We start from the raw sequence: 16,656 nt of genomic DNA, 5'->3' as shown, positions 1-16,656 counted from the left end.
ATACAACTGGCAAGAGCGGGCACACAAGTTTTGTTGTTGTTGTTGTTGCTGTTGTTTCTTGAGATGGAGTCTCACTCTGTCACCCAGGCTGGAGTGCAGTGGTGCAATCTCAACTCACTGCAACCTCCGCCTCCTGGGTTCAAGTGATTATCTGCCTCAGCCTCCCAAGTAGCTGGAATTATAGGCACCTGCCCCCATGCCTGGCTAATTTTTGTATTTTTAATAAAGATGGGGTTTCACCATATTGGCCAGGCTGGTTTTGAACTCCTGACCTTGTGATCCATCTGCCTCGGCCTCCCAAAGTGCTGGGATTACAGGCGTGAGCCACCATGCCCGGCCCAGACACTTTTTAAGAGGCCTGCACTCCAGCCTGGGTGACAGAGCGAGACTCCGTCTCAAAAAAAAAAAAAAAAAAAAAAAAAGGCTTTATTTTACCTAGACCTGTTAGAAAGGATCTAATAAACAATGGCAGAGAAAAAAATAAAGCTTCCTACCTGTCTTGGGGACAGAAAGAGATTCAACTACCTTTTTGGGGAAATTATTATTATTTTGAGACAGAGTCTCCCTCTGTCACTCAGGCTGGAGTGCAATGGCATAATCTTGGCTCACCACAACCTCTGTCTCCTGAGTTAGTTATTCTCCCATCTCAGCCTCCCGAGTAGCTGGGATTACAGGCACGCGCCACCATGCCCAGCTAATTTTTTAATTTTTAGTAGAGACGTGGTTTCACCATATGGGTGAGGCTGGTCTCTAACTCCTGACCTCAGGTGATCCACCTGCCTCAGGCTCCCAATGTGCTGGGATTACAGGCGTGAGCCACCTCGCCCAGCCAGGGAAATTATTTTTAGCTTTTATGCAGCTTAAGTGTCTTCTTTTTTTTTTTTTTTTTTGAGACGGAGTCTCACACTATGGCCCAGGCTGGAGTGCAGTGGCACGATCTCGGCTCATTGCAAGCTCCGCCTCCCGGGTTCATGCCATTCTCCTGCCTCAGCCTCCCAAGTACCTGGGACTACAGGCACCTGCCACCACGCCCGGGTAATTTTTTGTATTTTTAGTAGAGACAGGGCTTCACCGTGTTAGCCAGAGTGGTCTCGATCTCCTGACCTCGTGATCCGCCTGTCTCAGCCTCCCAAAGTGCTGGGATTACAGACGTGAGCCACCGCGCCCAACCCTTTTTTTTTTTTTGAGACAGGTTTTTTTCAATATTAGGTTCATTGACACACATGGCATATGTCTTCTTTTAGGTTTTTCAGTGATGTTTTGTATTCTCCATAAAACTTTTACATTTATATAATTTTTTTTTCAGGCACAATGTTATGTGCTGGATATAGAGTTGTGAACTAAACAGATATGGTTCCTGACTCTGGGGATTGCAGTCTAGTTAGACTGACAGCCATACACGAAATGCAAGTTCCACTTAAAAATGCTACAATAGGCCGGGCGTGGTGGGCTGACGCCTGTAATCCCAGCACTTTGTGAGGCAGAGGTGGGCGCATCACCTGAGGTCGGGAGTTTGAGGCCAGCCTGACCAACACGGAGAAACCCCGTCTCTACTAAAAATACAAAATTAGCCGGGCATGGTGGCACACACCTGTAATCCCAGCTACTCGGGAGGCTGAGGCAGGAGAATCACTTGAATCTGGGAGGTGGAGGTTGCGGTTAGCCAAGATTGCACCATTGCACTCCAGCCTGGGCAACAAGAGTGAAACTTCATCTCAAAAAAAAAAAGCTACAGTAGATTAATAATTATAATAATTGTAGTCATTTTACAGAGCACCAATTTTGTACCAAGCACTATTTTAAGTACTTCATATATAGTAATTTATTTAATCCTTCCAACATTCCTATGATATAGGTTTTATTATTATTATTTTTGAGATGGAGTCTCGCTCTGTTGCCCAGGCTAGAATGCAATGGCACAATCTTGGTTCACTATGCCTCCGCCTCCCAGGTTCAAATGATTCTCCTGCCTCAGCCTCCCAAGTAGCTGGGATTACAGACTCCAGCCACCACCCCCAGCTAATTTTTGTATTTTTAGTAGAGACGGGGTTTCACCATGTTGGCTAGGCTGACTTCGAACTCCTGACCTCAAGTGATCCACCCACCTCTGCCTCCCACAAGTGCTGGGATACAGGCATGAGCCACGGCGCCTGGACAGGTTTTATTATTTTATCTATTTTGCAGTTGAAGAACAGAGGCCTGGAGTGGTTATTTTCTCAAGATCACACAGCTAATAAGTTATGGAGCCAGGATTTGAACCCAGGGACTTCATCTCCAAAGCCTGTGTTTTTTTTTTGAGACAGAGTCTCACTCTGTCACCCAGGCTGGAGTGCAGTGGTGTGATCTCAGTTCACTGCAACCTCTGCCTCCCGGTTTCAAGTGATTCTCCTGCCTCAGCCTCCCGAGTAGCTGGGATTACAGGCATGCACTGCCACGCCTGGCTATTTTTTTTGTACTTTAGTAGAGACGAGGTATCACCATATTGTCCAGGCTAGTCTCGAACTCCTGAGCTCAGGCAATCCTCTATGTTCTGAATGGGCAAAATGTTTGGAGACCCAGAAACATTTTTACGGATTGTAAAAATCCTGAGTTTAGCTGTACCTTAAAGGAGTAGTGGATTTTTTTTTTTTTTTTTTTTGAGACAAAGTCTCACTCTGTCGCCCAGGCTGGAGTGCAGTGGTGCGATCTTGGCTCACTGCAACCTCTGCCTCCCGGGTTCAAGCGAGTCTCCTGCCTTAGCTCCTGAGTAGCTGGGATTACAGGCAGGTGCCAGCACGCCCGGCTAATATGTATTTTTAGTAGAGACGGGGTTTCACCATGTTGGTCAGGCTGGTCTCGAACTCCTGATCTCGTGATCCACCTGCCTCAGCCTCCCAAAGTACTGGGATTACACGCATGAGCCACCGTGCCTGGCCAAGGAGTAGTAGAATTTTAAATAACAGATGGAAAAGCTTCCAAGGTATTCCAAATACAAGGAAAAGCTGAGTAGAAGTTAAGGAGTAAGCACACAACCTGCAGTCGTCCTGGGTGGGGAAAGGTGGGTGGGAAAGTAAATGAAACGTGACAGGCTGAAAAAGTAGGTTGAGGCCAGGTTGCAAAGGAGTTTGAATACCCTGCTCTGAGAGTTTAAATTCTACCAAACAATGAATCCATAAATACCTGGTGTTTGGAAGTTATTTATTATACTTTAAGTTCCAGGGTACATGTGCACAACGTGCAGGTTTGTTACATATGTACACATGTGCCATGTTGGTGTGCTGCACCCATTAACTCGTCATTTACATTAGGTATATCTCCTAATGCTATCCCTCCCCACTCCCCCTACCCCATGACAGGCCCCAGTGTGTGATGTTCCCCTTCCTGTGTCCAAGTGTTCTCATTGTTCAATTCCCACCTGTGAGTGAGAACATGTGGTGTTTGGTTTTTTGTCCTTGCAATAGTTTGCTGAGAATGATGGTTCCAGCTTCATCCATGTCCCTACAAAAGACATGAATTCATCCTTTTTTATGGCTGTATAGTATTCCATGGTGTATATGTGCCACATTTTCTTAATCCAGTCTATCATTGATGGACATTTGGGTTGGTTCCAAGTCTTTGCTATTGTGAATAGTGCCACACTAAATATACGTGTGCATGTATCTTTATAGCAGCATGATTTATAATCCTTTGGGTATATACCCAGTAATGGGATGGCTGGGTCAAATGGTATTTCTAGTTCTAGATCCTTGAGGAATCACCACACTGTCTTCCACATGGTTGCACTAGTTTACAGTCCCACCAACAGTGTAAAAGTGTTCCTCTTTCTCCACATCCTTTCCAGCACCTGTTGTTTCCTGACTTTGTAATGATCGCCATTCTAACTGGTGTGAGATGGTATCTCATTGTGGTTTTGATTTGCATTTCTCTGATGGCCAGTGACGATGAGCAGTTTTTCACGTGTCTGTTGGCTGCATAAATGTCTTCTTTTGAGAAGTGTCTGTTCATATCCTTTGCCCACTTTTTGATGGGGTTGTTTTTTTCTTGTAAGTTTGTTTGAGTTCTTTGTAGATTCTGGATATTAGCCCTTTTGTCAGATGAGCAGATTGCAAAAATTTTCTCCCATTTTGTAGGTTGCCTGTTCACTCTGATGGTAGTTTTTTGTTTTGTTTTGTTTTGTTTTGAGAGTGTTTCGCTCTGTCACCCAGGCTGGAGTGCAGTGGCATGATCTCTGCTCACTGCAAGCTCCACCTCCTTGGTTCACGCCATTCTCCTGCCTCAGCCTCCTGAATAGCTGGGACTACAGGCGCCCGCGACCACGCCCGGCTAATGTTTTGTATTTTTAGTAGAGACGGGGTTTCACCGTGTTAGCCAGGATGGTCTCAATCTCCCTACCTCGTGATCCACCCGCCTCGGCCTCCCAAAGTGCTGGGATTACGGGTGTGAGCCACTGCGCCCAGCCTCTGATGGTAGTTTCTTTTCCTGTGCAGAAGCTCTTTAGTTTAATTAGATCCCATTTGTCAATTTTGGCTTTGACTTCTTTAAGGAGAACTACAAACCACTGCTCGACAAAATAAAAGAGGACACAAACAAATGGAAGAACATTCCATGCTCATGGATAGGAAGAATCAATGTCGTGAAAATGGCCACAATGCCCAAGGTAATTTATAGATTCAATGCCATTCCCATCAAGCTACGAATGACTTTCTTCACAGAATTGGAAGAAACTACTTTAAAGTTCATATGGAACCAAAAAAGAGCCCGCATTGCCAAGACAATCCTAAGCTAAAAGAACAAAGCTGGGGGCATCACACTACCTGACTTTAAACTATACTACAAGGCTACAGTAACCAAAACAGCATGGTACTGGTACCAAAACAGAGATATAGACCAATGGAACAGAACAGAGCCCTCAAAAATAATACCACACATCTACAACCATCTGATTTTTGACGAACCTGACAAAAACAAGAAATGGGGAAAGATTCCCTATTTAATAAATAGTGCTGGGAAGACTGGCTAGCCATACATAGAAAGCTGAAACTGGATCCCTTCCTTACACCTTATGCAAAAATTAATTCAAGATGGATTAAAGACTTAAATGTTAGACCTAAAACCATAAAAACCCTAGAAGAAAACCTGGGCAATACCATTCAGGACACAGGCATGGGCAAGCACTTCATGTCAGTTTATTTTTTGAGATGGAATTTCACTCTTGTTGCCCAGGCTGGATTGTAATGGCGCGATCTCAGCTCACCGCAACCTCCACCTCCCGGTTCAAGCAATTCTCCTGCCTCAGCCTCCTGAGTAGCTGGGATTACAAGGATGCGCCACCACACCTGGCTAATTTTGTGTTTTTAGTAGACGGGGTTTCTCCATGTTGGTTAGGCTGGTCTTGAACTCCTGAACTCAAGTGATCTGTCCGCCTAGACCTCCCAAAGTGCTGGGAATACAGGCGTGAACCACCATGCCCAGCCCGTGCTTGGAAGTTATCAGAAAAAAAATCTTAGGGAACTCAAAACTGTTTCTAAAGTTGGTATGAACTGTAAGGGAAGAATATCTATAACTACTCTGGTTTCCACATCCAGCTTTGGTAGAAATTGGCTCTACTGTGTAGGGGATTTAGAATTGGGTGGGAGGCCCACACCACATGGCTCAAATGCTATTGAGAGGTGACAGTGTTCTGACAGCCCTCGCTCGCTCTCCGAGCCTCCTTGGCCTCAGCGCCCACTCTGGCCACACTTGAGGAGCCCTTCAGCCCGCCACCGCACTGTGGGAGCCCCTTTCTGGGCAGGCCGAGGCCGGAGCTGGCTCCCTCAGCTTGCAGGGAGGTGTGGATGGAGAGGTACTAGCGGGAACCGGGGCTGCCTGCCGTACTTGTGGGCCAGCTTGAGTTCTGGTGGGCGTGGGCTTGGTGGGCCCGCACTCAGAGCAGCCGGCCGGCGCCTCCCGCCCCGGGCAGTGAGGGGCTTAGCACTCGGGCCAGCAGCGGAGGAGGGTGCGCCAGGTCCCCCAGCAGTGCCGGCCCGCCGGCGCTGCACTTCAATTCTCCCCGGGCCTCAGCTGCCTCCCTGTGGGGCAAGGCTCGGTCTGCAGCTGCAGCTGCAGTCTGCGATGCCTGAGCCTCCCCGTCGCCGCCGTGTGCTCCTGGGCAGCCCCAGCCTCCCCCGACGAGTGCCGCCCCCTGCTCCGCAGCGCCTGGTCCCATGGACCGCCCAAGGGCTGAGGAGTGGGGGCACAGGGCGCAGGACTGGTGGGCAGCTCCCCCTGCGGATGCAGTGGAGTATCCACTAGGTGAAGCCAGCTGGGTTCCTGCGTCTATTGGGGACTTGGAGAACCTTTATGTCTAGCCAAGGGATTGTAAATACACCAATCGGGACTCTGTATTTAGCTCAAGGTTTGTAAGTGCACCAATCAGCACCCTGTGTCTAGCTCAAGGTTTGTAAATGCACCAATCTGCACTCTGTGTCTAGCTGATCTGGTGGGGACTTGGAGAACCTTTATGTCTAGCTAAGGGATTGTGAATACACAAATCGGCACCTGTCAAAACGGACCAATCAGCTCTCTGTAAAACAGACCAATCGGCTCTCTGTAAAATGGACCAATCAGGGTAGGGGGGGTGCGGTGGGGCAGATAAGAGAATAAAAGCAGGCTGCCGGAATAGGCAGTGGCAATCCGTTTGGGTAGTCTTCCTTGCTGTGGAGGTTTTGTTTTTTCACTCTCTGTAGTAAATCTTGTTGCTGATCACTTTTTGGGTGCATGCTGGCTTTATGAGCTGTAACGCTCACTGCGAAGGTCTGCAGCTTCACTCCTGAAGCCAGCGAGACCAGGAATCCACCGGGAGGAACGAATAAGTCCAGGCGTGCTGCCTTAAGAGCTGTAACACTCATGGCAAAGGCCTGCAGCTTCACTCCTGAAGCCAGCGAGACCGTCAACCCACCAGAAGGAAGAAACTCTGGACACGCCGCCTTTAAGAACTGTGACACTCACCGCGAGGGTCTGCGGCTTCATTCTTGAAGTCAGTGAGACCAAGAATCCACCAATTCCGAACACATTATTACCCTTCGTCATCATGTCCTGCCCACTCATTTTTTTTTTTAAGAGATGGTGTCTCTGAGTAGGCAAAGTGGCTTACTCCTGTAATCTTAGCATTTTGGGAGGCCGAGGTTGGAGGTTTGCCTGAGCTCAGTAATTCCAGATCAGCCTGGGCAATATGGTGAAACCCCATGTCTACTAAAACACGAAAAATTACCCAGGCGTGGTGGTGCACACCTTGTAGCCTCAGCTATGCAGGAGGCTGAGGTGGGAGAATCACTTGAACTCAAGAGGTGAAGGTTGCAGTGAGCCAAGATTGTGCCCTTGCACGCGAGCCTGCCTGGCAGAGCAAGACTCCATCTCAAAAAAAAAAAAAAAAAGATGGTGTCTAGCTCTGTTATCCAGGCTAAAGCACAGCACAGTGGCTATTAAGAGGTGTGATCATAGCGTACTGCAGCGCTGATCTCCTGAGCTCAAGCAATCCTCCTGTGTCAGCCTGCCAAGTAGCTGGGACTATAGTTGGCACTACTCTCCCGGCTCCTGCCCTTATTTTTAACTTAAAAACTAAATGGGGCCAGGCGTGGTGGCTCATGCCTGTAATCCCAGCACTTTGGAAGGCCAAGGTGGGCGGATCACTTTAGTTCTGGAGTTTAAGGCCAGCCCCACCAACATGGCAAAACTCTATCTGCTAAAAATACTACAAAACAATTAGGCAGGCATGGTGGCACATGCCTGTAATCCCAGCTACTCAGGAGGCTGAGACGCTAGAATCACTTGAACTCAGAGGCAGAGGTTGCAGTGAGCTGAGATTGTGCCACTGCACTCCAACCTGGATGACAGAGTGACACTGTCTCAAAACATAAATAAAATAATAAATTTAGAACATTTTAGTTTTATTTTGGAAAACAATTAAAAGTCATATATGAGTGTTTCATTTCTTTTTTTTTGAAGCAGAGTTTCGCTCTTATCGCCCAGGCTGGAGTGCAATGGCGCGATCTTTGCTTACTGCAACTTCTGTCTCCCAGGTTCAAGCGATTCTCCTGCCTCAGCCTCCCGAGTAGTTGGGATTATAGGTGCCTGCCATCATCCCTGGATAATTTTTGTACTTTTAGTAGAGGTGGGATTTCACCACGTTGACCAAGCTGGTCTTGAACTCCTGACCTCAGGTGATCCATCTGTCTTGACCTCCCAAAGTGCTGGAATTTCAGGTGTGAGCCACCAAACCCGGCTGAGTGTTTCACTGTGTAAAAGCAGATTATTGCACAATACCTACAAATGGTATACATATAATTTGTTGTTTTTTACATATATTATATTAAATAAATTTTAGGGGAAAAAATGCCACCAGGATTGGATCTTTCCCACAGAGCTCATATAGACTTCTCACAAAGCACTTGCATTATGCAGAAAGTTTGGGAGTGCACACAATTTGTTAAGCAGATTGTTACATAGCAATTATATAAGTGTTTTAGTATTTTTCATGTACATGCTTTAAATTTTATTTAAAAAGGCACTGTCATCATTTTTTTTAACAGACCACAGACACTAGTATATTCTAATATTTGGAAAGACAACTGGCTTTGGAGATCAGCAGCCTTGGAATTACATCTCAGCTTCACCACTTACTGGCTGTAGGAGCCAATCATCAGATAGATAAAGTAAGTTGACCATCTATAAAGTGGGGATAACAACTACGTTATGAAATTTGAGAGTAAGAATGTTTTCATTGGACATGCAGAGTTGCATCACAAACACAAATATATCCACATTCCACAGATTGAACTATGCATGTTTAGTAAACCAAATCGAAACATTTAAACCACAACTTTCTTTTAACTCTGAAGTTAATCCATTTTCACAGCCCTAATTCTATTCTCAATCATTCCTAATCTTTTGAAAGTGATTTGGAAACCAGTATGTTATTGTTTACCTACTTTTGGAATTTAGAGGGAGGATGTACGAGGCTCTAATCTAGGTCCCTTTACATATTTATAAGTTAATTCTCCTAACGACCTCATTAGGTAGGAGTGATTTTCCAGAGAAGATAACAGACCTGGCTCTTAAATGTGCCAAGTGAATGAAATTATTTTTTAAATAAAAATAAATGGAAATAACTTCATCCTTAGTTTTTTTTCTTAAGCAGAGTTTCCCTCTTGTTGCCCAGGCTGGAGTGCAATGGTGCAATCTCGGCTCACTGCAACCTCCACCTCCCCGGTTCAAGCAATTCTCCTGCCTCAGCCTCTCCAGTAGCTGGAATTACAGGCACGCATCACCACGCCTGGCTAATTTTTTGTATTTTTACTAGAGATGGGGTTTCACCATGTTGGCCAGGCTGGTCTTGAATTCCTGACCTCAGGTGATCCACCTGCCTCAGCCTCCCGAAGTGCTGGGATTACAAATGTGAGCCACCACACCCAACCAAAAGACAAATTTTTTTTTAAGACAAGTGTGGTGGTATATGCCTACAGTCCCAGCTACTCAGGAGGCTGAGGTGGGAAGATAGCTTGAGCCTAGGAGTTGGAGGCTTCAGGGAGTTATGATTGCACCACTGCACTCCAGCCTGGGCAACAGAGCAAGACTCCGTCTCAAAAAAAAAAAAAAAAAAAGGCAGGCGTGGTGGCTCTAGCCTGTAATCCTAGCACTTTGGGAGGCCAAGGCGGGTGGATCATTTGAGGTCAGGAGTTTGAGACCAGCCTGACTAACATGGTGAAAACCACACCTGTCTCTACTAAAAATACAAAAATTAGCTGGGTGTGGTGGTGCACACCTGTGATCCCAGCTACTTGGGAGGCTGAGGCAGGAGAATCACTTGAACTCCGGAGGTGGAGGGTGCAGTGAACTGAGATCATGTCACTGCACTCCAGCCTGGGTGATAGAGCCAGATTCCGTCTCAAAACATACACACACAAACACACACAGCATGGACTGCTACTTAAGCCTAAAACACAATTGTAAGCCTACCCCACTGTACTTTCTTTTTTTTTTTTTTTTGAGGCGGAGTCTCACTCTTTCGCCCAGGCTGGAGTGCAGTGGTGCCATCTCGGCTCACTGCAGCCTCTGCCTCCCGGGTTCAAGCTATTCTCCTGCCTCAGCCTCCTGAGTAGCTGGGATTACAGGCGTGTGCCACCCCGCCTGGCTAATTTTTATATTTTTAGTACAGACGGGTTTCACCATGTTGGTCAGGCTGATCTCAAACTCCGGACCTTGTGATCAGCTCTCCTCGGCCTCCCAAAGTGCTGGGTTTACAGGCGTGAGCCACCGCGCCTGGCCCCCACTGTACTTTGTATTTGGCCATAAAGAAATCTAGCTTCCTGAAGCCAGCTTCCATTCGGATTCCAGCTTTCTGGCTCCTATACGGGTTTGTGGTTTTCAATGGCCTACAGTTTAAATAGAAAGGACTAGAAAGCCTTCCTTAGCAGAAAAGAAAAGGGAGTATTCGTTACGCATCATGTAGTTTAGGACTTCAACCAGAAGGTGTCTCTGCAGCCAAGGGATAGGAATCTGGCCTCAAGAAGTAGAAGACTGGATTTTCTAGTTTGAGAAAAATTGTGGCAGAAATGAAGCAAACAAAGGTAAGTCAGCTACCTACAGAAACCAATCCCAATAGTATAAATTGTTCTTAGCCAACAGCTGAAAAGGCTGGTAGAAAACTTAAGCAAAACCCACTTTTTTTTTTTTTTTTTTTGAGACAGGGTTTCACTTTGCTGCCCAGGCTGGAGTGCAGTGGTGTGATCACGGCTCACAGCAGCTTTGACCTCCTGGACTCAAGTGATTCTCCCACCTTAGCCTCCCAAGTAGCTGGGCCACAGGCATGCACCACCATGCCTGGCTATTTTTTTTTTTTTACTTATTTTTGAGATGGAGTCTTGCTCTGTTGCCCAGGCTGGAGTGCAGTGGGGTGGCGTGATCTCGGCTCACTGCAAACTCCACCTCCCGGGTTCAAGCAATTCTCCTGCCTCAGCCTCCCGAGTAGCTGGGATTACAGGCGCCCACCACCACTCCTGGCTAATTTTTTGTATTTTTAGTAGAGACGGGGTTTCACCGTGTTAGCCAGGATGGTCTCATCTCCTGACCTCGTGATCCGCCCGCCGTGGCCTCCCAAAGTGCTGGGATTACAGGTGTGAGCCACCGCGCCCAGCCTCCTGGCTAATTTTTTTTTTTTTTTTGAGACGGAGTCTCGCTCTGTCCCCCAGGCTGGAGTGCAGTGGCACGATCTTGGCTCACTGCAAGCTCCACCTCCCGGCTTCAGGCCATTCTCCTGCCTCAGCCTCCCGCGTAGCTGGGATACAGGCGCTGGCTGCCACGCCCGGCTAATTTTTTTGTAGTTTTAGTAGAGATGGGGTTTCACCGTGTTAGCCAGGATGATCTTGATCTCCTGACCTCGTGATCCGCCCGCCTCAGCCTCCCAAGTGCTGAGATTACAGGCGTGAACCACCGTGCCCAGCCCCTCCTGGCTAATTTTTAATTTTTTTTGTAGAGATGGGGGTTTTGCTATGTTGCCCAGGCTGGTCTTGAACTCCTGGGCTCATGCCGTCGTCTCACCTCAGTCTCACAGAGTGTTGGGATTACAGGAGTGAGCCACTGTGCCTGGCTCAAAACCGACCCTTAATGCAAGGAAGCTGCTTTAAAAGCAGAGCATCTGTCCTGTCACCTGAAACACACCAGGCTGTGTGAAGGTGAGCTTTGAAAACTGAGAGGCAGTTCCCAAGGCAGGTGCTGCAGAAGAGACGGCTCTTCCGTGAGAATAGATGTGAAGATGAAGGGAAAGAAGAAAAATGCAGTTTTGTAAGTGCAGAGCTAGGGAAATAAGGAAAACTTTCACCCTAGGTAGACCTTTGAAGTATGCCTTCATTTTCGGTGAAACATGGTGACTTTCTAGAATCTAGGTACACTTTGATATTCAAGGGAAAGAAAAGGATCCAAATATGTCAATATCTTAATCAATATTTGTTGAATATCATATTTTTTACTTAGGAGAAATAAGTAAATTATAAGACAAAAATTAGTAGTATAAATATTAGAGAGTTGATTACAGGGTAACAAGGGATCCTCCACCTTAAGGAACACACTTTTATTAAAAATGTTGTCCTGGCCAGGTGTGGTGGCTCACGCCTGTAATCCCAGCACTTTAGGAGGCCGAGGTGGGTGGATCACCTGAGGTCGGGAGTTCCAGACCAGCCTGGCCAATATGGTGAAACTCTGTCTCCACTAAAAATACAAAAATTAACTGGGCGTGGTGACGGGTGCCTATAATCCCAGCTACTTGGGACTTGGGAGGCTGAGGCAGGAGAATTGCTTGAACCAAGGATGTGCAGGTTGCAGTGAGCCGAGACTGCACCGCTATACTCCAGTCTGGGTGACAGAGCGTGACTCCATCTCAAAAAAAAAAAAAAAAAGTTGTCCTAGATGATTTTTTTTCTTTACTAAATGTATTTTGCCATTGATTTTTCTTATAAAACCAAAGGTATATTTGCCCAAGGAAGACATTGATCCCAAATGATAATACAGTCACATCTAAGGTTGAAGAAGACCTTTTGAAAATTATACTTGGCCAGTTCAGTGGCTCACACCTGTAATCGCAACACTTTGGGAAGCTGAGGCAGAAGGATTGTTTGAGACCAATAATTTGAGACTGGCCTGGGCAACATGGCAAGACCCTGTCTGTATAAAAACATTAAAAGATTAGCCAGGGCCGGGCGCGGTGGCTCACGCCTGTAATCCCAGCACTTTGGGAGGCCGAGACGGGCGGATCACGAGGTCAGGAGATCGAGACCATCTTGGCTAACACGGTGAAACCCCGTTTCTACTAAAAATACAAAAAATTAGCCGGGCGTAGTGGCGGGCGCCTGTAGTCCCAGCTACTTGGGAGGCTGAGGCAGGAGAATGGCGTGAACCCGGGAGGCGGAGCTTGCAGTGAGCCGAGATCGCGCCACCGCACTCCAACCTGGGAGACACAGTGAGACTCCGTCTCAAAAAAAAAAAAAAAAAAAGATTAGCCAGGCATGGTGGTGTATACATGTAGTCCCAGCTACTCGGGAGGCTGAGGCAGGAGGATCACTTGAGCCCAAGAAGTTGAGGCTGCAGTGACCTATGATAGCGCCACTGCACTCCAGCCTGAAGATGTTTTGGATTATTCAAAGGATAATTAATAATAATCTAAAAATGTTTCAACCATATCCTAGAACATATGCAAAGTAATAAGGGCAATTTTTATGTTTTGCATCACAGCTTGAATGGCTACATTAAAAAGAACAATGTGGGCAGACTGAACAGAAAGTCGTTGACTGAAAGCTTACTTAGCTTCCCTTATACAACCTACCTGAGATATTTTCTAGCAGGAGACTAAGTAGTTATCCTTGGCTGCTCAGACCTGCTTCGGATGCCCTGGGGAAATTGGGATGTGACCAGGTGGATCTGAGAAAGACGAGGAAAAAGGCAAAAGCCACACAGCTGAGGTGGTGATGCAGAACACAGTCTTTTTATTATTATTATTATTATTTGTGACAGAGTCTTGCTCGGTCACCCAGGCTGGAGTGCAGTGGTATGATCTCAGCTCACTGCAACCTCTGCCTCCCAGGTTTAAGCCATTCTTCTGCCTCAGCCTCCTGAGTAGCTGGGACTACAGGTGCCCACCACCATGCCTGGCTAATTTTTGTATTTTTAGTAGAGGCGGCGTTTCACTGAGTTGGGCAGGCTGGTCTTGAACTCCTGACCTCAAATGATCCACCCACTTCGGCCTCCCAAAGTGCTAGGATTACAGGTATGAGCCACCATGTCCATCTAGAACACAGTCTTAAGAGAGAGAATGTGTGCATTCAGCTCACCCACAGAACCAGGGCATTTGGAGTGTTCAATGTGTGTCCAACAGTGCCTTGATTCCTATGTGATGGCAGAATTTATAATCAGCGAGTAATTTCCTTATTTGGGGAATTAGTAGCATGTAAATATACTACGATGTTGTCTTTTGGCATACAGAATTTCTGAATAATGCTCCTGTATCAACATTGCATGTATAAATTTAGCTTTTTTTCTTTTTTTTTTCAGAGTAGTAATGAGTTGGACCAATAAAAAGTGCAAAGCCTGGCTTTCTTCAAGTCCTCATGCTCCGAGAGTCTAAGGAGCAACATTGTAAGGCTGCAATTTTCTTTCAGGTTGCAGGTAAACTGCTCTGCAGGCAGCCTAAGTGTTCTTTGAAAATCACTGAAAATATGTGACATCTCACTGTTTGTATCACTCTCAGGTCAGACCTTAGGTCCTCAGACATTCTGTATCACTTCTAAAAGTTTCCAAGTTCCTATCACTGTCATTGAGAATAACTTGGTCTGCTCTTTTCAAATTCTGGAAACAGGACACAATGACATTACATAGGAAAATGTCTCGTTTTCCTCTTTGAATCTATCTTTTGCTTTTTCAGAAAAGGGTGAGTTGGTAATGATGGCTGATTAGGAGCTGGGTGAAGGGTCTATCTCTCTGCCTTTGTCTTGCATTACAGGGGCTCTGAGAATTCCACCCCCAAGCCACTCCTCTGAGTCTTCTTCAGGACAGGAACACAACACTTATAGGCCTGTATTTTGTTTTTTTTGTGAGAGGAGTTTTCACTGTGTTGCCCAGGCTGGAGTGCAATGGCACGATCTCGACTCACTGCAACCTTTGCCTCCTGGGTTCAAGCAATTCTTGTGCGTTAGCCTCCCAAGTAGCTGGGATTACAGGCATGCACCACCAAGTCTGGCTATTTTTTAAAGATTTTTGGTAGATACAGGGTTTTGCCATGTTGGCCAGGCTGGTCTCGAACTCCTGGCCTCAAGTGATCCACTCACCTCATCCTCCCAAAGTGCTGGGATTACAGGTGTGAGCCACTTGTGCCTGGCCAGGCCTATATTCTTTTTTATTCTTTTTTTTTTTGAGATGGAGTCTTGCTCTGTTGCCAGGCTGGAGTGCAGTGGCACGATCTCGGCTCACTGCAACCTCTGCCTCCTGGGTTCAAGCGATTCTCCTGCCTCAGCCTCCCGAGTAGCTGGGATTACAGGCATGTGCCACCATGCCCGGCTAATTTTTTTTGTATTTTTAGTAGAGACGGGGTTTCACCATGTTGGCCAGGATGGTCGTGATCTCTTGACCTTGTGATCCGCCCGCCTCGGCCTCTCAAGGTGCTGGGATTACAGGTGTGGCCTCAAGGGCCAGAAATACTTCTACACAATAAGCCATGATACTCTTCTTGGTGCTATTTACAAGTGAAGCCATCGCAGGCACTTCATTCAGTCTTACTGTCTTGTTGTCTTTATTCCTGCGCTTCTGCTACCTGCTCTGTCCTGCTTTCAAGACCTCTCAAAATACTCTTCTTCCCTGGGTCGAAACTGAGCCCAGTCACCCTGAACTTAATGGAGAGACCACTTTTCCTACTGGCTCCTACCTTGACAGGGATTATAATACAATGGGGAAGATCCTAGGTTCCAGAGGTAGGTTGCCTGGGTTTTAATCCCAGTTCTATCACTTTCTAGCTCTGTGATTTTGGCCAATTCCCCTAATCCCTATGTGCCTCATTTTCCTTATCTGCAAAATAGAGATATAATACAAACCATCTAATTAGGTTGTTGTGAAGATTAAGTGAGTTCCCTTAGGTACACTGTTTAGCATAACGCGTGGCAGATTGCTATTTCCTCTGAGTTTCTCTCAGAACCTAACTCAGTTCTTGGTACTCAATAAATCCTTATTAAACGTAAACATCTAAACTATTTTCCTTTTTGCCTGATGATCTCCTTTGATTACTCCCTTCTCTAATTTTCTATATTCTTTGTGCCAAAGAGGACTATTCTTCAAGGAGATCTCCAGCAAGTCTCTACCAAAGTCTCAATCAGAAACACCATCTAGTGACCTCAATCTATACAGGAAAGGAGCGTAAGTGACATAACACACAGCACACAGCATATGTTCTGGTCATTATTGAGGGACAAGAGTCATCTGCTTCTTCTCTGTGGAAATTAGAACAATGCTGCATTTTCTAGGTCCTTCCCAGAGTTGTTTTTGTTTTTGACACTCTTGAGAGAGTAGCAAAAGTTCTGATATTTGATGTTCGAATTACCTCCATTAGTGGAGGACACTCTGTGATCATACAGTCATCAGTAAGAATGGTTTCAGTGCTGCTCCTGCAGCTTCCACAGTGAAAGATTTTTTTATTTGCTTTACTAGCCAGCTAAGGTTTCTGTTGAGACACCCAGGGAGATGGTAAAACTGCAGCTGTAGCTGGGCACGGTGGCTCACGCCTGTAATCCCAGCACTTTGGGAGGCTGAGGCGGGGGGATCACGAGGTCAGGAGTTCGAGACCAGTCTGGCCAACATATCGAAACCCCGTCTCTACTAAAAATACAAAATTAGCCGGGCATGGTGGTGTGCGCCTGTAGTCTCAGCTACTCGGGAGGCTGAGGCAGGAGAATGGCTTGAACCTGGGAGGTGGAGGTTGTGGTGAGCTGAGATTGCACCACTGCACTCCAGCCTGGGTGACAGAGTGAGACTCTGTCTAAAAAAAAAAACAAAAACCCAAAAACTGCAGCTGTGAAGCCCAGCACCAAAGTTATAGTCCCTGCTAGAGGCAGCTGAGAGCCATGAAGTGATAGGAGAGGCAGGTCACACCCCATCATTTATCTGGGA

The 16,656-nt window shown here is 46.5% G+C and overlaps 1 annotated feature.

The window, feature by feature from the left end:
• Positions 7,237-7,471: a silencer, noted in NCBI's record as "fragment chr11:116979894-116980128 (GRCh37/hg19 assembly coordinates)". NCBI's record gives its function as "represses an EF-1alpha promoter that drives an FKBP-Casp9 reporter gene in an ReSE screen in phorbol 12-myristate 13-acetate-treated (for megakaryocytic differentiation) K562 erythroleukemia cells {active_cell/tissue: K562(+PMA)}" and the evidence as "EXISTENCE:reporter gene assay evidence [ECO:0000049][PMID:32094911]".

Source organism: Homo sapiens, chromosome 11 (assembly GCF_000001405.40).
Source record: "Homo sapiens chromosome 11, GRCh38.p14 Primary Assembly".
Taxonomy (NCBI): Eukaryota; Metazoa; Chordata; class Mammalia; order Primates; family Hominidae; genus Homo; species Homo sapiens.
The sequence above is the reverse complement of the archived record's forward strand: the minus strand, read 5'-3'. Positions and strand labels throughout refer to the sequence as shown.